General features: G+C 39.2%; 1 protein-coding gene across 2 annotated transcripts in view, besides 1 other annotated feature; it reads left to right on the top strand.

The window, feature by feature from the left end:
- TCP11X2 (t-complex 11 family, X-linked 2) overlaps positions 12,812-22,081 on the top strand; it is an 11,498-nt gene continuing 2,228 nt past the window's right edge. The window contains exons 1-8 of one of the 2 annotated variants that reach the window (NM_001405027.1): positions 12,812-12,851; positions 13,339-13,476; positions 15,489-15,591; positions 19,055-19,175; positions 19,909-20,129; positions 20,896-21,032; positions 21,279-21,499; positions 21,598-21,779. In NM_001405027.1, the coding sequence (NP_001391956.1) occupies positions 13,350-13,476; positions 15,489-15,591; positions 19,055-19,175; positions 19,909-20,129; positions 20,896-21,032; positions 21,279-21,499; positions 21,598-21,779 (1,112 nt within the window). In that variant the 5' untranslated portion in view covers positions 12,812-12,851; positions 13,339-13,349. Of the gene's footprint in view, positions 12,852-13,338; positions 13,477-15,465; positions 15,592-19,054; positions 19,176-19,908; positions 20,130-20,895; positions 21,033-21,278; positions 21,500-21,597; positions 21,780-22,081 lie in introns of both variants that reach the window. The other variant, NM_001277423.2, reaches the window with a different exon arrangement.
- Positions 12,842-13,342: an enhancer, noted in NCBI's record as "H3K4me1 hESC enhancer chrX:101726202-101726702 (GRCh37/hg19 assembly coordinates)". NCBI's record gives its function as "activates a minimal SCP1, AML or CMV promoter by ChIP-STARR-seq in naive H9 embryonic stem cells {active_cell/tissue: H9 hESC(naive)}" and the evidence as "EXISTENCE:reporter gene assay evidence [ECO:0000049][PMID:30033119]".

Genomic DNA, 22,081 nt, shown 5'->3' with positions numbered 1-22,081 from the left:
ATCAAGGAAACCATTTCTTAGTCCAAAGTCACAAAGATTTACATCTTTTTCTTCCAGTAGCTTATAAATTTAATTCTTGCATTTAGGTCTTCCATCCATTTTAATGTTTTTTTTTTTTAATGGAATGTGAGGAAAGTGACCAAATTCATTATTTTGCAACCACTATGTGTATAACCATTTGTCCCAGGACCATTTTTGAAAAGATTATTGAAAACCAATTTACCATAGATGTATGGGTTATATCTGGGCTCTCAATTTTATTTTACTTATATATATCCTTATGGAAACATCAGTATCACACTGTACTGATTACTACAGTTTTGAAATCCAGGAGTGCAAGTTCTCCAAATTTGTTCTACTTTTTAAAGATTGTGTTGGTTATTCAGGGCGCCTTCTATTTCCACATTGTGATGATTTGGCTCTGTGTCCCCACCCAACTCTCATAGAATTGTTCAGTGTTGGTGAGAGGTGATTGGAGCTGGGGGTAGTTTCTAATGGTTTAGCACCATCCCTCTAGTGCTGTCTCATGAAAGAGTTCTCACGAGATCTGGTTCAAAGTGTATAGCACCTCCCCCTTCCCTCTCTCTCTTCCTCCTTCTCCAGCCACGTAGGATGTGCAGGCTTCCCCTTCCCCTTCTGCCATGATTGTAAGCTTCCTGAGACCATCCAGGCTATGCTTCCCATACAGGCTGTGGAACTGTGAGCCGATTGAATCTCTTTTTTTTTAATAAATTACCCAGTCTCAGGTAGTTCTTTATACCAATGTGAGAGCAAACTAATACAAACATGAATTTTAGCTTTCCCATTTCTGTGAAAATGCAGTTGGAATTTTGAAAGTTATTTTATTAGATCGGTAGATCAATTTAGGGGAGTAGCAACATCTTAATGATATTAATTTTTCCAATTAATGAACACAAATGCCTTTTCATTTATTTAGGCCTTCTTTAATTTCTTTCAGCAATGGTTTGTACTCTTTGGTGTGCAAGTTTTTACCTTCTTTTCTAAATTTTTTAGTGATTTTATTAATGTGATGCTATTTTAAATAAAATTGGTTCCTTAATTTCATTTTTAATTGATTATTTCTAGTATATAGAAATACAACTGATTTTTGTATGTTAATTCTGCAACCTTACTGAACTCGTTTATTAGCACTAATATATCTTTGTGGATTTTTTAATATAAAATCATGTTATCTGCAAATAGAGATAATTTTATTTCTTCCTTTACAATCTGGATGACTTTTACTTTTTTTCTAGTCTAATTTCCCTGGTTAGAATTTCCAGTACATTATTGAATAGAAGTGGTGAAGGTGGACATCTCTGTCTGGTTCCTGATCTTAATGGAAAAGTATCCAGTGTTTCATTAAGTATGAAGTATGCTATTGGTTTTTTACAGCTGCCCTTTATAATGTGGAGAAAGTTCCCTTCTAGTCTTAGTTTGTTGATTATTTTTATTATAAAATAGTGTTGGATTTTGTCAAATGCATGTGTTGAGATGATCATGTCGTTCTGCCTTTGTGTTATTTATATTGTGTATTAAATTGACTGATTTTCAGATGCTGAAACAACCTTGCATTCTTGGGATAAACTGCACTGGGTCAGAGTGTATACTTATTTTTCTATGATGCTGGATCTGTTTTGCTATAATTTTGCAGAAGAATTTTTATCTATATTCATAATACGTAGGTCTTTTACTTCTTTTCTTGTAATGTCTGTCTGGCTTTGATACAAGAGTGATACTTGAATCATAGTGTTCCCACTTTTTTTATTTTTGGAAAAGTTTGTGAAGTATCGGTGTTATTTCTTTTTAGAACTTTTGGTAGAATTAACCAATGAAGCCACCGTGTCCTGGGTTTTTTTTTTTTTTTTTTTTTTTTGTGGTAAGGTTTTTGAGGAGTGACAGAATCTCTTTACTTGTTCTATGTCTATTCACATTTTCTATTTCTTCTTGAGTTAAACTGGCTGAGCCAGGGGGTGGAGCTGTGGGAAGTGCTTGCGCTTTAGGCATTGCTGTCTGGAGCCCCCAGGGAACTAGTGTCTGCTGGGCCCCATCAGCTTTTAGAAACAGGAGAGATAGAAGCCAGTCCCTTGGGTAATACATGGGAAAATTGGAAATCCAGATGTGTGGTGTGACTCCTCTGCTCTTTGAGGAGACACTGAGAACCTGGACTTCTCTCATGTCATACGATGCTGTGCCTAGAGTGGGGATTATGGTGCGAGGGTCTCCAATTTTCCTTCTCGTTTTGATGTGGCTGGTTTCAAACTCACTCAGGGTGCAGGAGCCTGTCAACTAGTTTCTGGATTTCTCACAAAAGAAATTGATCCATTTCTCACGAAAGAAATGGATCAATCATCTTGCTATTGAATCAGTGTGTCTATTGGGGAAGGAGAGTCCAGGACTTCTTATTCCACCATCTTGCTAACGTCATCCCTTGATAACAGGATAGTTTATTTTATTTCTTATTGTATATGTTGAGGATGTACAACATAATATTTTAACAGGTGTAAGATGACATCTTGTTGTGGTTTTAATTTGCGTTTCGCTGATGATTAGTGATGTTGAGCACCTTTACATATACTTACTGGCCACTTTTATGTCTTCTTTGGAAAAATGTCTATTCAGGTCCTTTACTCATGTTTTAAAGGGACTATTTGTGTTTTTTTTTTTTGCTATTGAGTTGCGTGTGTTCCTTATATATTTTGTATATTAACTCTTTATCAGATATATCGTTTGCAAATATTTTCTGCCAATCCATAGACTGCTTTTTCATTTTGTTGATGCTTCCTTTGCTGTGCAGAAGCTTTTTAGTTTGATGTAGTCCCACTTATTATTATTCTTGTTGCTTGAGCTTTTGGTGTGATAACAACAAAAAAAAATCACTGCCAAAGCCAATGTAAAGGAAGTTTTCCTATATGTTTTCTTCTGGGAGTTATATGGTTTCCTGTTTTACATTTCGGCCTTTAATCCATTTTGAGTTGATTTTTGTGTATGATGTAAGAGAAGGGTCCAAGATAACTGGACATTGTAAATTATATAATTGTGGGGACCTTGGAAATCAGATTCTCCTTTCTTTCCAGGATATTTTTTTTGTTCTGTTTGTTTTTATTGCTTGTTAGGGACTTTCTTAAATTAATTCTGTTGTGTGTGTGTGTGTTGTTTGTCATTTGTGGCCACTAAAGTCTCTACTTGGGTAGCTTAATGGTCAGGTAATGATTGGACATAGATTTCCTGAAAAGCCATTAACCAACAAGTCTCCCAGACTTGTTTTCAAGGGAGCCTGTATGTATTGTGGATAATTCCTTCAATGTTCAGGCAAGCAGTTTACAACTCTCTCTTAACCTTCAACTTGTGCTGGGTCTCAAGATCACCCAGAGGCGAAAATTTAGAGCCTTCTTAGATCTTTTCTAGATGTGCACACAGCCCTGCACATGTGAGTGGCCTCCCAGATTCATGGGTATTTTAAAGGCCTAAGCTTTTCAGAGTCCCCTATAAGTGTCTTATTCCCCAGTTTTACCTTTTAAGCTTTTTGTTCAGCTTCTTGTTTGTCTTAACTCTTATTGCCACCTTAGGGAGCTATTGTGTTATATGATTGCTACCGTTTTCTTTAAATCAAATGCCCCTGTGAAAAAGACTGTTCATACGGAGTGAGATCTGGGTCAGGTGAAATAAAGACAAGACTTGAAATGAGTGTTTCCAGGAAGCTGCCAAATAGTTCCTATGATGATGTTTCTCTAAGAATGATGTTTTGGACAGCTTCAAACCCTCTGCTCCCTCCCTTGGCTGTTGGTTTTCACAGTGATTATATAGCTGTTGAGTTTTATGACAACTTTGGACCTGAAGAAAAAGTGGTGGAAATAGAACAAGTTGAAATACCACAATGCTTGCTGTTGTCTCTGAAATTCAAACATTTTTCTTTAATAAACTCACCTTGAATTTTTCAAAGCCTTGGTTAATTTCCATAGTTCCGAAAAAGTTGACTTTTACAATACTTGCCAGTGTACTCACTGTTTTTATGGAGAGAAGAATTTTCCAAGGTCCTTCCTCTGCCGTTCTCACTAACATCATCCCATATTGGCCTTTTATGACAAGTGTGTCTTTACCGGAGTCAAGAAAAACGAGAAAATCTACAGACCACCATCTAAAAGGGTCTTTGTTTAGGAAAATCTGCTGTGTAAAATCTCAGGTTTAGGAAACAAATTAGTGGATAATTATTTCCTTTATGAAAGAAGATTTGCTCAATTAAAGAACTAATTTAAAAGTTCCTTTAAGTTGTGAATCCCATGGTTCATTTAATGAAATTATTGGAGCAAAAAAAATGTCCCTAGCCTTTCAAGAATACCCACTCTGTAAATATATAAATGCATTACACTGTGTTTTAAGAGTGAAAATTGGTCGGACATGGTAACCCATGCCTGTAATCCCAGCACTTTGGGAGGCTGAGGCAGATGGATTGCTTGCACCCAGGAGTTCAAGACAAGCATGGGCAACATGGCGAAACCACATGTCTACAAAGAATAAAAATTAGTCAGGCATGATGGCGCACGCCTGTAGTCCCAGGTACTTGGGAGGCTAAGATGTGAGGATCTTTTGAGTCCAGGAGGTTGAGGCTGCAGTGAGCCATGATTGTGCCTCTATTCCATGCTAGCTGGCAGAGAGAGGCCCTGTCTCAGAAAAAAAAAAAAAAAAAAGAGTAGAAATAAAGGAGATGGGAATTAAGAAGTGGGAATTAAAGGAATTTATCCATTGACAAATGGATAGTTTTAGATTAGTTAACACAGAGGTAGCAAGGTGAGTTTTCTTGGCTTTAACCCCCAAACAACTTTCTTCAAGAGCTCCCACGGTTCATATGATTTATTTAAGACCAGAAAAGCCTAAGGCCTTTGATGTACTTATTTTGAGAAAAGGCATATACCAACTTTGAATCAAAATTCTAACTTCTCCAACACCTTCCATAATTATGAAGGCATTCAGATATGTACAGTTGACCCTTGAACAACAGAGGTTTGAACTTTATGGGTCTATTTATGTGCAGATCTTTTCAACCAAACGTGGATTTAAAATGCCATATTCACAGGATTCAAAACTTGCATATATACGGAGAGCCGACTTTTAGTATAGTCGAGTTCTGCAGGACCAACTGCTGGACTTGAGTATGTGTGGATTTTGGTATACGTGGGTGCTGGGGGAGGTCCTGGAATTAATATTCCATGGATACCAAGGGAATACTGTACTCGATTCCATTATGAGATGTCAGAAAATATTACCTGCTGCCAGAAAGTGGATTTTATTTTCTAAGTAAAGATAATTTTAAAAATTTTTGGCCAGTAAAGATGCATTCTGGGGTCCACAAAAAATCTCTCTAGTTAAAAACAACCAAACAAAAAACCCCATAAATAAGCTACCAACTTTTGCCAGAATTCAAAACCAGCTGAGTGTATTTTTGTTGAAACTGCTCTAAGTGTGTAACTCATTCATGTCCTGGAGCACCAGGTACAATTGTGGTGATGCAGCTCTTGGTAGGGCTTTAAAATCAGCCTGGTATCTTTGGGCTGAGGTTGCCTCTAACACCATCTTATAAACAAGCAGGACAGCGAATGAGAAAGAGCAAGAGTGAGGGTAATAGTGAGAGATCCCTTACCCAGGAATAGGCCTCTCTGAGTCACTTCTGGGATGCTGCTGCCCTCTGCTGCCACATGTCCTGGGAAAACCCCTGTGGTCTCAGGACCTAAAATGTTCTCTCTTTTTTCCCAAGCTGATGCTTTATTCGTTCTCGGCTTTAAAGACACTTGCTGGCATGGAAATAAATGAAAAGCAACCAAATGAGAATAAGCGAAGACTGTTTATTCGGAACTTACTATAGCAAATGAGTCAGCCATCATCACTTGTGTTTTGGCAGAGACTCAAAGGCAGGCAGAGAAGTGGGAAAACTTTATAGTGGAAAAAAGGGAAGACTTCAGGTATTCCCTGATTGGAGCTTTTTCGCATAGGGAAGCTGTAGGTGGGCTAACTAGAAGCAGAACAATTTATGTGATTGGTTAGGAGGTTCATATTTAGTTTGTTAGGTGGATGCAGGAACAAAAATTGGAAAAGCTGTCAACTATTAATAAAGTACTTGCCATTTGGGGCCAATTGTTACAGAAGTTGTTTAGTTTCTTGGATTGTTACTAGAGAGAGCAATCTGACTTCCTGCAAATCTGATTTACAGCATGCTGTCTTCTTTGGTAATTATAGATAAGGGGATTAGTTTCCTGGGAAGGTTGTGGATCAGAGTTCTGAAGCCAAGAACTGAAAGAGACACAGAGAGGAAACATGTTTATAACACAAAGAAAGAAAGGCTGACTCTGGGAACTAAGATGAGTCCAGCACATTTGGCAGGGAAGGATGTTCCATTTTATGTCATTCTCCCAACAGTGTTGTTGCCCTGTGGGGTTAGGACATTTATTCATATTCCACACTTTATTTATTGAGTATCCATTATGTTCTAGGCACAGTGAAGAGCCAAATGCACAGCCCCTGCCCTCAGAAAGCTTAGACTCATGGTGAAGTTCAATATTCAGTAAATACTAATTATGCAAATAAATGTATAATTACAAACTGTGGTAATTCCTATTATTAAAAAGTACAGAATGTTAAGAGAAGGGTTAATAGGGAACTCTTGTTTAGATTGGAGAACCATAGAAAGTTCTCTGAGGAATTTAGAATTTGAAAGCTGAGATTTGAGCAATGAGGAATCAGTTAGTCCTGGAAAAGTGGGTAAAGAAGGAAGAAAGCATCATAGGGGGAAAAAATAGCATGATTAAGATCTTGAGGTGGGAAGGCACGTGGCCTGTTAAGGAAAAGGAAAAAAAGGTCAGTATTGCCATGCGCTAGGAATGAATGGCGTGAGATGTGAATGTAGAAGTAGACACTAAATGCTGCTGTCAGAAGTTTCATCTTCCATTGCTCTGTATCTCTCCTTTCCTTGAAGATCTATACTGGTTTCTCCACCCATCATGCCTCACTTTTAGCTTGGAAGCCCCCAGATTACCTAGAACCTTCTCATACTCCTTTTGTGTTCTGTGAAGAAAACACATTGGTAAAAGATTAACATGGATAATGTTGATATGTAGTTTTGTACTGTAAAGGAGAAGTGTAATGAAATAAATCTATTTTATGACTCTGTGTGGTTTTATTTAAAGCTGGATATGGTGGTGTGCATCGTGGTCCCAGCTACTTGGGAGGCTGAGGAAGGAGGGTTGCTTCAGCCCAGTAGTTTGAGTTTAGCCTGGGCAACATAGCAAGACCTTCATCTCTAATAAGACAAAATAAATAAAGGCGCCATCCTGTATTTATGTGTCCCCACCACTTTAGTTAGCTGTTTATCTTCCACTACACTATACTGTATCTTGGGCCCCAGGATAGTCAATATCAGGTGTGAACTTGATTGAATTGAAGGATGTGGCTGGTAAAGTATTGTTTCTGTGTGTGTCTGTGAGGGTGTTGCCAGAGGAGACTGACATTTGAGTCAGTGGACTGGGAGAGGAAGACCCACCGTTAATGTGGGCAGGCACCATCCAATTGGTTGCCAGCATGGCTAGAACAAAGCAGCCAAAAGAAGCTGGGATAAGTTTGCTTGCTGAGTCTTCTGGCTTCCTTTTCCCATGCTGGAAGCTTCCTTCCGCTCCTACTGCCTTGGACATCAGACTCCAGATTCTTTGGTCTTTGGACTCGGGGACTTGCACCAGTGGCTTGCTGAGGGCTCTCAGGCCTTTAGGCACAGACTGCAGGCTGCACTGTTGGCTTCCCTGGTTTTGAGGCTTTTGGACTTGGACTGAGCCACTACTGCCTTTTCTCTTCCACAGCTTGCAGGCAGCCTATTGTGGGACTTCGTCTTGTAATTATGTGAACCAATTCTCCCTAATAAACTCCCTTTCATGTATACATATAGCCCATTGGTTCTGTCCCTCTGGAGAATCTTGACTAATAAAGTCCCATTTAACTTCACCTCTTGGTTTTACAATCCATTGTGTATCATTTTATCATTTACATTTTTTTCTTTAGCAAATGTGTATACTTAGTTAAATTGCTGTTGCATGGCTCTATATATTGTGGAATAAACAATCTGAGATATGGGTTCTAGTCCTGACTTTTCTGTAAACTGGTGGCAGTCTTAGAGAAGTGATTTAAGTTCTCTGAGTCTCAAATGGTTCTTTCTGAAAATGAAATGTTTAAATTTTTATGTGTTAACTAAATTATTTTTACCCAGTATTCCTCTTAAATTCTGTAATTTTATACCACTTATGGACATCTATGAATATCTTTTACGTAGTCTTCTTTTGTGTCCTTATGGATAAGATTGACTCTCAGGATAATTTTCTTTTTTGGAGTAGTATACATAAAGTATAATTTAACAAATGGTAATTGGTCACAGTATTGAGGTAGAGTTAAGGCACATCTGAAGGGTAAAAATTCCCTGCTGAAGGCATAAAATTCTCATAAATGACTTTGCAAACTGTGATATGTGTACTCAGAGTGGGTAACCCCAAGTGCGCCAAGAAATAAAAGAAGCCAACAAATATATATTGAGGAGTGCAGATATCTCTTCAATATACTGATTTTCTTTCTTTTAGAAATATACCCAGGAGTGGTATTGGTGGATCATACGGTAGCTCTGTTTTTAGTTTTTTGAGGAACTTCCAAGTGTTCTCCATAGTGGTTATACTAATTTACATTCCTGCCGACAGTGTACAAAGGTTCCCTTTTGTCCACAACTTTGCCAGCATTTGTTATTGTCTGTCTTTCGGATATAAGCCATTTTAACTGGGGCGGATGATACCTCACTGTAGTTTTGATTTGCATTTCTCTGATGATCACTAATGTCGAGCACCTTTTCATGCGCTTGTTTGCCATTTGTATGTCTTCTTTTGAGAAATGTCTATTCAGATCTTTTGCCCATGTTTTAATTGGATTATTAGATTTTCTCCTATAGAGTTGTTTGAGCTCCTTATATATACTGGTTATTAATCTCTTGTCAGGTGGGTAGTTTGCAAATATTTCTCCCATTCTGTGTGTTGTCTCTTCATTTTGTGATTGTTTTCTTTACTGTGCAGAAGCTTTTTACTTGATGTGATTCCATTTGTCTATTTTTGCCTTGGTTTGCCTGTGCTTATGGGATATTACTCAAGAATTTTTTGCCCAGACCAATATCCTGGACAGTTTCCCCAATGTTTTCTTGTAGTAGTAGTTTCATAGTGGTGAAACAACAGGAGTGAAAGTGGGTATCCTTGTTGTATTCCAGATCTTACAGGAAAGACTTTCACTTTCTACTCATTCTTATGATACTAGCTGTGGATCTCTGTTTTTTATGGCTTTTATTATGTTGAGGCGTGTTCCTTCTATACACAGTGTTTTGGGGGCTTTTATGATAAAGTAATGTTGAATTTTATCAAATGCTTTTTCAGCATCACTTGAAATGATAATATGGTTTTCGTCCTTCATTCTGTTGGTATGATGTGTCACACTGATTTATTTGTGCATGTTGAACCATCTTTGCATCCCAGGGATAAATCCTTCCTGGTCATGATTAAAGATCTTTCTAGTGTATTGTCGAATTGGGTTCACTAGTATTTTGTCGAGGATTTTTGCATCAATATTCATCAGAGACATTGGCCTGTAGTTTTCCTTTTTTGATGTGTGTTTGTCTGGTTTTGGTATCAGGGTAATACTGGCATTGTAGGATGAGTTTGAAAATATTTTCTCCTCCTCTATTTTTCAGAGTAGTTTGAGTAGGACTGGCATTAGTTCTTCTTTAAATGTTTGGTAGAATTTAGCAGTGAGGTCATAAGGTCTCGGGCTTTGCTTTACTATAGACGGAGACTATTTATTAAGGCTTTACTGTGTTACCTGTTATTGGTCTGCTCAGGTTTCGGATTTCTTCGTGTTTCAATCTTGGTAGATTGTATGTGTCTAGAAATTTATCCATTTCTTCTAGATTTTCCAATCTATTGGCATATCCTTGCTCATAGTAGCCACTGGTGATTCTTTGAATTTCTGTGGTATCAGTCGTAATGTCTCCTCTTCCATCTCTGATTTTATTTATTTGGGTCTTCTCCATTTTGTTCTTCATGAGTCCGGCTAAACATTTGTCAATTTTGTTTACCTTTAACAAAAAAGCAACTTTTTGTTTCATTGATCTTTTGTATTGTTTTCTTCATTTCAAATTCATTTATTTCTGCTCTGATCTTTATTGTTTCTTTTCTTCTAATTTGTTTTCCTCTAATTTACTCTTATTTTTATAGTTCTTTATGATGCATCATTAGGTTTTTTATTTGAAGTCGTTCTTCTTTTCAATGTAGGCATTTACAGCTATAAATTTTGATATCAGTACTGCTTTTTCTGTATCCCATAGGTTTTGGTATGTTGTGTTTCCATTATCATTTGTTTCGTAAAAGTTTTCAGTTTCCTTTTTAACTTCTTTTTTGATCCACTGTTCATTTATGTGCATATCGTTTAATTTCCTAGGAGTTGCCTAGGAATTGCAGTCTTTGTGTCCTAGGCATCCCTTCAAGTTTACCTGGGACCCCAGAGCACTTTGGCCTGTAGTGGTGTGGATTGCCGAGAGACTCAAGTTCTCCGCCCTGGGATGGGTGAATCCCCTCTAGCTAGGTCTGGTCCAGATGCTCCCTCTGTGAGTGGGCACTGGCTGAGCCCAGCACGGCTTTGCTCTCTGGTATGGCAGGGTAGCACTGAGTTCAATGTGAAGTTCCCCAGTCACTGCCTTCTTCTTCTCCCAAGTGTACAGACTCTCTGGGCTGCACAGCTGCTGCCAGGATACGGGGGAGGGGTGGCATCGGCGATTTAAGACTGACTGTCTCTGTCTGACCTCTTGAATGTCTGTTCCAACAATATGAATTTAAAACCAGGCACTGTGATTGCTCACCTGACTTTTGGTTCTCATGATGATGCTTTTCTGTATGCAGATAGTGGTTGCAATTTGGTGTTCCTGCAGGGGGTACACAAGGTATAGCCTTCTATTCCACCATCTCTCTCTGTTCCTCTAGTTGGTTCTTGACAACTCTTGATAATACGTATTATTAAATACAGTATCTGGGCCATCCCTAGGCAAAATGTGATTTGCTGTTTTCCACTAGTTCTCTCCCTTTATTTTTCCCACACTTCTATTTCCCCTCATTACCTCTCCCAGGGGATTTCAATATTAAAAGACACTTCAAAAGACTATTTCACTATTTGAATGAAGAGCTGATAGAATTTTAGGTTATCACTGCGTAGAGTTTTTTTTTTTTTTAACAATGCAATTTTGTGAGAAGATGAATTGGTGTCATTCTGGAAGGTTTTCTTAGAAAGAAATACAATAGAATTCTGATTTTTTTAATGAGAAATGAACTTCTGGTATAGTGAAACATATGCCTTATGAATGTATAATTTTATGTTCAAATCAAGAAAAATATATTTAAACATTTATCCTGGGGTTGATATGAGAGCAATTTGTTTCACAGCTGATATTACTGAAGGAAATACTAGGAGAGGATGAGGAGGGAATTCAGATTTAGTATTCATTAGTAAAATAAACTCTTTAGCTAAGCGCTAACTTTACTAGCCAAGTCCCCTCATATCCTCCTGTGCCTGGAAGTTAAGGTGGATTTTTCCTAGGCTGGAAAGTTCTTGGACCTCTTCCCCATAACTTTCTTCTTCAAAATCCCCATGTTGTGCAAGATATTCACACGGTACTGTTGCCACTAACAAGGCGAGGATTGTGGTGAGAATCTGGTCAAAGTATAGTCTTGATTTATAAAAGAAACAAGTTAATGTGTTAAGAAATTAAGTCAGGGTAAGAGAGGGATCAACTAGTATAGTGTGGAAATGTATATATGCTGGAAATAGGCCAATCCAGGGGTCCTCATATCACTGTGGTGACTGGCCAGTGGAGTGACAAAGTAGACTAGGACTGAAGAGTGAGCAACATGAGGCCCCTTAGGATCGTCCGTTCCAGTGCCCTCAGTTTACAGATGAGCTCCAAAGCTCACAATTGGATTGCAATGAAGAACATGCCAAGAATTGAGCTGAAAGAACCCAAACCAAAATGTAGGATTCCTCTCAGGCTTATGGTCTTGCCCCTTTACCACACAGCTTCTGTGGCTAGCCCTTTAAAATGATTCTTGATTTGCATATTTGTAAAATGAGAGTTTAACAGTTCATGTGTCTCTCCTTACTTTGTGTGGAGGATTCACTTATACAAAAGATAAAAGAAAACCCAAAACAGACTTCTGGAATTTTGTAGCCCTGTTGGTTCTTCATTTGTAGGGGCTGTATGAACAGCATGAAGTGAAACAAATAAACAACAAACGCTTATTTTTTCCCCCTAAATAGTTATTTAAATGCTATTTTTGTTTCTGGGGCAGTAAGGATAAAAGCTTTGAACAGTTCGTTCACGAGGAGCAGGGCTTGAGAAGATGACTTCCAAGCTCCTGAGGGGTTCCGAGCCTGGGCGGGAGGGTATGGACATGAAGCCTCCTTACGTCTATCTCAGCCTCCTGCCTTTGTCACCCAATGGTGAGGCTCTGCTTGCGTTTCCTGCCGTCTTGGTTTCCAAGGCACCCTGGGCAAGTGATACCACCCCGCTACCCTGGAAACGGATCACCCTTTGTTTTCATGTTTGGACTCTCCTATCTTGTGTCACAGGTAGGGGTGCGCTCCAGGTGGACCTCATAATCTCCATGGTTCCGTCCTACTCCTCCCTGATGATCTCCCCTCTCTTCCTGGCTACAATGGTACTTCCCAGACCAGGTTGGGGAGGCAGAGGGGCTTCGCTAGCAGACGCAGAGGCGAGGCCGCCAGTCGAGGACGAGGAGGAGGTGAGGGACCAGGGTCGCGAGGGCTGTGGGGGATACCCTGCTGCCTGAGTCCAGGCCGGCAGAGCCCCTTCAGGAAGGTCTGGAGCAGTAGCTAAGGAGTTAGAAGGTATTCCAGGACCAATGAAAGGTAGCCAGAGCCGAGGAAGATTCCTTTCCTAGCTTGGTCAGTAATGTGCAGTGTGCCCCGCTTCTGGCGAGTTAATTGTCCATCTCTGGGCCTTGTTTTCCTCTTCTGCTTGCCCAAGACCAGACTTCTTTGATTTCAGTAAAGGAAGTGCCACTAATTCCCCTTCCCCTCGAGGCCTGTTTGAAGACCCTAGTTGTTCCTTTGAGAACCTTTGAGCCCTGGTACTTAATCCTTTCAACTGACGGCAGCGGGTTCAGTCACCAGGACACACAATTGTAGTTGAAGAGCGCTCTTTCTTTTTGTCCCTGGGCGAGAGTCAGGTCTTACACAGCTTGCCTCTTCTTTTCTCTCCAATTCCAGATAACATCAAGATGCCGAAGACTGAGGAAACTGTGCTCCAGAATGATCCCAGTGTAGCAGAGAATGGGGCCCCTGAGCCTAAAACACCAGGGCAGAGCCAGAAAAGCAAGAGTTTCTGTTTAGATGACCAGTCTCCTGGTAGGTCTAGAATCATGTCATCACTTCTATGGACAGCAATTAGGCTAAAGGAATAGACAGCCTGTGATTTAAGGGCCTTTAAGGGATATAGAAGGCTCTTGCAACCTTGCATTTTTCCTTACTAATCCTTCTGTTAGTCCTCTTTTGGATTATTCTTTCTCTTGTCTTTCTGCCCCCTCTAATTTTTACATGCAGGACTTAGGCCCCTAATTGGTAAGTAAAATTAAAAGATTTTGGTTTTAGAGAAAGAGACCGACAAAGCAAGTTACTTGTGTTTGACAACAGTCGAGAGTGATTTAGTCAGTTCAAAGCCTGGGAAATAAATAGCATTCTTGTATTTTGATTTTGTAAAGTGCAAATGGTAGATCTAGGACAGATCGAAGTGATCCAAATTATCTGTTGCTTCAGTTGTGTTCTGTCCTTTTCCAGGGGTGCTTTGTTGACATAAAAATTACCACTGCTCTGGGGTAAAATTATTTAGGTCTTTAATAATAGCATTTTTATGTGAACATTGGGACTTTAAGTCTTTTTCACACCTTATGTTAGGCATTTGAAGCTTTGGCTTGACTAGTCCAACCTCACAGGAACTCAAATTGCAGTTCTTTTACAATAATCTCCAGTGAATTTAACCAAAGGTTAATCTGCAGACCTCTCCAGATGTAGCAATTTGATCCAACCTCTTGAACACTGAAACGGGGAAAAAATATGAAGTTGAATTACGTGTGTTTCTCTGGTGGCCACTTGGGGTCACTGCTAGTAAGCAGAATGGCACAATTCATACTTCATAATATCTCTCAAAGAAATGATGTCTTAATGAATTAATTAGATGGTATATTTTAACATATGTAGCTTTTTAGTTAGTATAGAAGGGAAATACCAGTTGATGGACCAACTTTTCAACAGAAGTCTTATCAACGGTTTTTTAAATGAAAAATAAATGGGCATAAATGGACCATCTTCTTGGAGTGAGCTTTAGGATTCTTATATGTGAGTTTTATTATATCTTAAGGATAAATCGTTCTCTCTGACCAAGTTATGAAACTACATTAAAATTGAGTTACAAAATAGTTTTATTGCATATTTTATTTTACATATCAAGTAATAATTGTGACTACTATATATACTTTGTTTTACTACTGAAAGTACTCTGTATGATGAATTTAGAACACTGGTTCCCAAATTCGAATGCTGGGCTAGGACATAGTTCTTACCAATATTGAATGAAATAAAACAATAAAGAGGTTGTAATGAGTTTTTAAAATAATATTAAATTGATTCAATTTAAAAGAGTACTCTTAATGCTGACTGTGTTTTCTTTATACTTTCTGAGGTGTTAAAATATGTTTTCTTTTTATGAAGTGATTATTTTGATGATGGTAGGGTAGTTTCATTGTTTGCTTGTTTGCTTTCATGTCCATATGTGGAAAAATAAAAATTGTCAAATCATTATCTGTCACTCATGTTGTTTTGAAGTGTTGTCTGTTGAATACCCAGATTTGGAAACTACTGTTTTAGGAGCAGGTTTCAGCTTTAGAGCCATCTAGTAAGATTCGTGTGGTATCTATAAGGAGATTTTAGCCTTCATCTTGTGTGTAGCCCCTGAGGTAGGAAGAGAACAGTGGGAACACAATAACTTTTAGATACACATTAATTTTACAAATCACAACTTATTCATTGTTTGCTGTGTTTTGCTTATGGTTTTACATTTCAAGTGGAAGGTTTTCAAAACTGTTTTATGTTTTTCAAAAACTAATTTCTTCCTCCCATGCCTGACTTCTCTGAGATGTTCAGTGTTACTGAAGAGCAAAGAGTTCAGAAAACTTCTGGTGGTAAAATGATTGAATAAGTCTGTGTAAGATCCGTTTGATGAATCTAAACTTGGGAGCCTTACTTGGCAGAGTGAATCTCTAAATAAAATAAAAATTCTCTTTGTGTGGGTTCCCTGTTGATGATGGCTATGCTTTTTTTCTTTCTTTTTCCGGAAAGCAGACCTGATGTCTTTTCTGTCACAGATCTGATAGAGACAGTTAATGAAGTTTCCAAGCTGAGCATTTCACATGAAATTGTAGTAAACCAAGATTTCTATGTGGAAGAGACCATTTTGCCTCCAAACAGGTACAGATTATTCAGTTTTTTTCCATTTTACTCTTCGGGGCATAGGTACATAGCACAAATGACTTTTGGTCAGACTTGAAGCATCTTATTAATAAATTTAATGGTTGAGTGTGTCTTATATAGTACCGACAAATTAGTGTAAGTATTACTTTAAAAGTGTCAAAGCAGCAAATTATATTTAAACAGGTAATAAACCAATGCAGTTACAGGTTGAACATCCCAAATCGGAAATCCACGATGCTCCAAAATCCAAAACATTTTGAGCGCCAACATGATGCTCAAAGGAAATGCTCATTGCGGTATACAAGTATGCTGCAAATATTCCAAAATCCAAGAAATCCGTAATCTGGCTAGGCGCAGTGTCTCACGACTGTTAAGTTCCAACACTTTGGGAGGCCGAGGCAGGTGGATTGCTTGAGTCCAGGAAGTCAAGGCCAGCCTGGGCAACATGGCGAAACCTTGTCTATGCAAAAAATACAAAAATTAGCCGGGCATGGTGGTGCATGCCTGTAGTCCCAGCTACTCAGGAGGCTGAGGTGGGAGGATCCCTTGAGCCTGGGAAGCAGAGGTTGCAGTGAACTGAGATCGCGAACACGCCACTGCACTCCAGTCTGGGCGACAGAGTGAGACCCTGTCTCAAATAATAATAATAACAATAATAATCCGTAATCCAAAATACTCCCGTCCCAAACATCTTGGAAAAGGGGTATTCATTCTGTATTGTCAAAATGTTCATTTCAGGATCTTAGTTAATAATGAAACGTAGAGTGATTTTCAGATCTTTTCAGACAGACTTGGAAGAGGTAACTCCTAGCCGTTCAACTTTTAATTATCTGCAGATTAAACAGGCAGAGATGAGCAGATTTTCTAATAGTGGTTTTGTTCACTCTTCAGGAGTAGGAAATTTCAGGGGACACTTCTGCTTCATAATCAGTGTAATAAAGATTCTGTGAATCAAGATTAGAACCCCATCGATAAATAGTGTGCTTCTACAATTAGGCTTTATATTGGTTTCTCTTAATTATATTGATATAACAATATATGATTAAGAATCATCCAGCATTTATGGATTGAATGCTTCTAGTGTTTATTAAGAGTTAAATGGGTTGATTTCTTTGTCAGAATCTATATTTTACGGTATTTCTAATTTCCCACCTTAAATGCTTCTGTTATTTTGCCACTTTTGGGATTCTGTTACGTAAAGCCCCTTGCTTTGTCAGTGGTTCTCTTGATCTTCATACTTCTTAGATTTTCCTTTGTCTGTTGCCAAGGATGGGTTACCTGAAGGAAGTTTTTACCAAAACACAGGTCTCGTAGCATCTCCCTCATTGCCTTTATAGTCCCTGCGGCCCGAGTTAGATTTGTTTTTCTCCTGGTAGGGGTGCAGAAAAAAGTGAAGCTAAGAGAATGAAGGTCTGTTAAAGTGGCTAGGGATCTCAGGGGGTGGATAGATGAAGCAGGAGGAATAATATTATTTAGGGCTTGGATTTCACTGTGTTTTTTAAATTAACAGGCTTTTTCAAATGTAGTAATACAAAATGTATACTGGATAAGAGGTTGAAATAGAGTTTGGGGTTATCCATTATCTACAGATAATTGACAGTTTTCCCTTTGGACTTATAAAATTATACTAAGCACAGTTATCGGTTTTTAGGGGAAATCTCATAATAAGACATTTATTCAACAAACATTTATTGAGTACTTATTAGGTGGAAGGCAGAATGTTGAAAGCTGAAGACATATAGTTGAGTGAGTCACTGTCTTTGCCATCAAAAAGCTTCTGTAGGGAAGATAGTCAAATAGCTACTGTGCAGAGTGATAAGTTATCTCATATCTAGTGTGTGGAGTTCTATGCAGTGCTCAGCTACCTGGGGAAGGTCAGCGAAGACTTTCCTAATAAGGTAACACTTGAATTGAGTCTTTTCAGGTGGTTTAGGGGAGAAGGGACTCTCCTGGAAGAGGAAATGTCATTTCAGAGCCATAGAGGGATGGAAGACAATTATATATTAATTATAAGTGGACTGTGATTGTTAGAGCACAGGATGTAGGAGGAGAAAGAAGGTTAAGGTAGGAGAAGTGGCAGAATAGGATCGTGAAGGGACTTAAAGGCCACGTACACTGCTAGAGATAGGTAGCGTCTGAAGAACTTTAAATGAGTATACTATTATGATCAGATTTGTATCTTAGAAAACTCATTGATTTTTATCAAAAATATGTACCATTGTTGGGGTAAGGTTTTGTGGGTGTAAGGTGGCCATTTAATAGACTATAGCAATAGTTCAGGAAAGAGATGACAGTGGGTGGGGGCCGATTCCAGAGATATTTAGGAAGCAAAATCTCTGGAATTGGGTGACTGAGTGGATAAAGGACATGAGGGGAAAGGAATTAAGAAGGACTACAGTACACACCAGATAGATAATAGTTGAACTTTCACAGGTTAGATTGTTGTGTTGGAGGAGAAACTTTGAATTTTTGTTTCATATATTTTTTAATCACTTGTATTTTTGTAAACAGAAAACATACATTACTATTATATACATACACGTATATATACACACGTGTGTGTATATATGTGTGTGTGTGTATATACATATATATATATATATATATTTTTTTTTTTTTTTTTTTTTTTTTTTTTGAGACCGAGTCTCGCTCTGTCACCAGGCTGGAGTGCAGTGGCACTATTTCGGCTCACTGCAAACTCTGCTTCCCGGGTTTAAGCAATTCTCCTGCCTCAACCTCCGGAGTAGCTGGGACTATAGGCACCCGCCACCACGCCCAGCTAATTGTTGTGTTTTTAGTAGAGACGGGGTTTCACCATGTTGGCCAGGATGGTCTCAAACTCCTGACCTCGTGATCCGCCCGCATCGACCTCCCAAAATGCTGGGATTACAGGCGTGAGCCACCGCGCCCGGCCTACTATTATATTTTTTTAAAGAGAAAAAGTCTCAGATTTCTGGTTACAGAACTAAGTATACATGAGGAACAAATTTAAAGAAGGAAGATAAGGAGTTCAGTTTTGGGCTTGCTGAATTTAAAGTGTCTCAGAAGACCTTCAGGTATTATCAAGAGGTAAAATCCTTTCCTAGATTTCAGGCCTGAAGGAAAAATAGCATCTGGTTCAAAGTTTTAAGTCTATGGCAGTGGAAACTAAGTCACACATCCAGGCTAGGTGCAGAACTAGGGTTAGAAGTCAGAGTCTCAACTCCTAGTTTATGGTTCTTCCTGCTGCAGGAAGAGAGTGTCTCTGGAACCTTGAGGTACCCTTCTGAGAGAATTTAGCCAATGCTTTTCCATCTGAGACTACCTTCAGTTTATTCAGCCCTTCTCAAGTCTAAACATAGGTCCTCCTAGCCTGTCAAGTTAATGGTCTTTCATAATTTTAAATGCTGTTTGGGAAATTATGATCCTGTATCAATTTTCTAGGTAAAAGAGCAATCTGCTCATTTAACCCTTCTTATAGTGTAGAAGGCAGGTTTGCGGAGGCAATGTACAATGCTTTTTGGAACCATCTGAAAGAACAGCTATTGAGTACTCCTCCTGACTTCACTTGTGCCCTTGAACTTCTAAAAGATGTTAAGGAGGTGAGTAACCAACTCCCATTCGTGGATGGGAAGTTCCTGGGCATCTCAGAACCTTGGATCGTCAATGGCTGTTAATATATCAAGTAGCATACTTTTTTTAACGTGACCTACTACTTAAATAGATAGGATGGGGCAGCTTCCATTTTATTTGTATAAGATGAAACTTGACCATTGGGCGATGACTATAACAATATATAACTCAATTAAACAAATTCTTACTGAAACCCCACTATGGTCTATGTGTTTCAGAATCCCGGAGATGAATAGGCGAGCCCTTGCCCACAAGGAACTTGCATGCTTGAGTCAAAAGGCTATTTCAAGGGAACCTTAAAGATTCCAGATTTGCTATTTTATCCTCACACTTTGGAGTAAAACAATCTAAAAATATCCTTATCCTTTATTAAGAATGCCTCATCTCCTTGTGGTGGTGTGTATTTCATATTTCTTATATCCCACACATTTAAAACCACATTCTTATTTTTATTCATATTTTTACCTCATTCTACCTAAAAAATAGTAATGACTACTACTATAACTGATCCCAGTGAAGCCTTGAATGGTAATTGTCCTCTAGACAGAAAGAAATAATACTCTCTAAGAAATGTAGAGACTCAGTTCTCTGCCCCCCCAGAAGACATAATCTGGGATGCCTTTGGCCTAAGAGCATAGTTCATTGGAGAAAGTTTGAGGTTCTGAACAGAACTTGGCTCCTTTGATTTCCTTTGTTGGGCAGACCTTGCTATCACTGCTATTACCATGGCAGAACCGCCTAAGAAATGAGATAGAAGAAGCTCTGGACACAGATCTCCTCAAGCAGGAAGCAGAACATGGGGCCCTGGATGTCCCTCATCTTTCTAACTACATTCTCAATTTGATGGCTCTGCTATGTGCACCGGTTCGAGATGAAGCGATACAGAAACTAGAGACCATAAGAGATCCAGTGCAGTTACTGAGGTGAGAGTCTAGATGTGCTGTCCCCCAAATCTGCCTTAGACACTGTGCCGGAGAACTCTGAGCCAGCCACTGTGGATATAGCCCCTGTCTTATCTAACTCTTGTGTACTGATGACCTGACTAACACACCTTTTCTCCTTTCTGGATTATTGGCTTTTATTTTCCAAGGACAGTCTCTCGGGGTTCCTTTTGATGATCTTTAGATCAGTTGGGTCTCCTTTATGTCATGATACTGTTAAGACATTAAGGTACAGTAATTCTTTCTCCTATAGATTGCAAATTGCCTTTTCCCAGATGTTGTCCTGTTTGTCCCAACTCAGACCTTGTGAGGGGACAGGAAAGAGGATTATCCGTGTTTCACAGCTAGAAGAACCAGGACCCGGAAAAGTAAAATGATCTGCTCAATGAGTTAGAAATTCAGTCACCCACATCCCAGCTACCCACATATAATTGTTAACACCTTGGTGATTTTCCTTTCACTGACTACCCTTTTTTCAAGGTGACAGACTGACTACAGGCAAAAGAGCTCTCATCTGGTTGTTAAAGTGTCAGGAGGTATAACTGTCCTTAGTTTTGCCATCAACTCACTCTATGGCCTTGGGTCACTGGCCACAGTACCATTATTCATAAGTTGAAATAGGACTGTTTGTTTTTAAGGCTTCTTCTGACTCTCAAATACTCTGCTTTTATGGCTCCTTGCTTGGATTCCACCCTTCCAGACTAGATTTCCTTTAATAGTGTAAATGTTCTGTTTCTCCCTACGGCAGGGGCATCCTCCGTGTTCTGGGCCTAATGAAAATGGACATGGTGAACTATACCATCCAGAGCTTTCGACCCTACCTGCAGGAACATTCCATCCAGTATGAACAAGCTAAATTCCAGGAACTCCTTGATAAACAGCCCAGTATGTTTAAAATTCAAGGGCAGGAGAGGGGAGATTTGACCTCAGGTCTGCCTTCTTATAGCAATAGAGGCTATTTTCTATTTTTTGAATAGAAAGTTTCTTCCTTGGGCAAGGGGTAGGGAGAAGGAATGTTTCTCTAAGATAGAAAGATCTACAAAATCACTTCTTTATAGACCAAGAGTATGTCTCAGAGCCATCATCTTTAAGCCTTGGAATTTTAAGATGCATATTCCCTTCTCGTCGTAGGTCTCCTCGATTATACCACAAAATGGCTAACCAAAGCAGCCACAGACATCACTACACTATGTCCGAGTTCTCCTGACTCACCTAGCTCCTCCTGCAGCATGGCGTGTTCACTTCCAAGCGGGGCAGGTAACAATTCAGAGCCCCCCAGTCCAACAATGGTGCTATACCAAGGCTACCTGAACCTCCTCCTCTGGGATCTTGAAAACGTAGAATTCCCAGAGGTAGGGATGTGTGTTTGGGCATTGCCTTGTTCTATGGTATTCAGTGCCTCCATTCAAACCCTCCTCTTCTGATGGGCTGTCCTTCGCTCCCTCACCAGACTCTGCTGATGGACAGAATCCGGCTCCAGGAACTGGCATTCCAGTTGCACCAGTTAACTGTCCTGGCCTCAGTCTTGCTAGTGGCCAGAAGCTTCTCTGGTGAAGTTTTATTCAGATCACCTGAATTTGTGGATAGACTGAAATGCACCACCAAGGCCCTAACTGAGGAATTTATCTCCAGGTAAGATTCATAGATCTCTGTTAGAGAGGGAAATGTGTGGTATTTGGGACATAGGTAATATCAATACTATTATTGCTTATTCTTCATCACAAACCACACAAAGGCCCTTGGAAATGATCTTCAAAGATTTTGGTATCTTTGATAATTTGTATTGAGGTTTGGGATACAGAAAATAAAACTTATTTTCCAAAGAGGAGAGTGTGGAAGCCAGTTTGCTACAAATATTCCTTATGTGTTTGCTAAAAATGAGTCATTATATACGTGATTGAATGACAGTGGATTTGTGCTATGTATATCTAGAA

The sequence above is a fragment of the Homo sapiens genome, chromosome X, assembly GCF_000001405.40.
Source record: "Homo sapiens chromosome X, GRCh38.p14 Primary Assembly".
Taxonomy (NCBI): Eukaryota; Metazoa; Chordata; class Mammalia; order Primates; family Hominidae; genus Homo; species Homo sapiens.
This window is presented reverse-complemented; position numbering and strand designations above follow the sequence as displayed.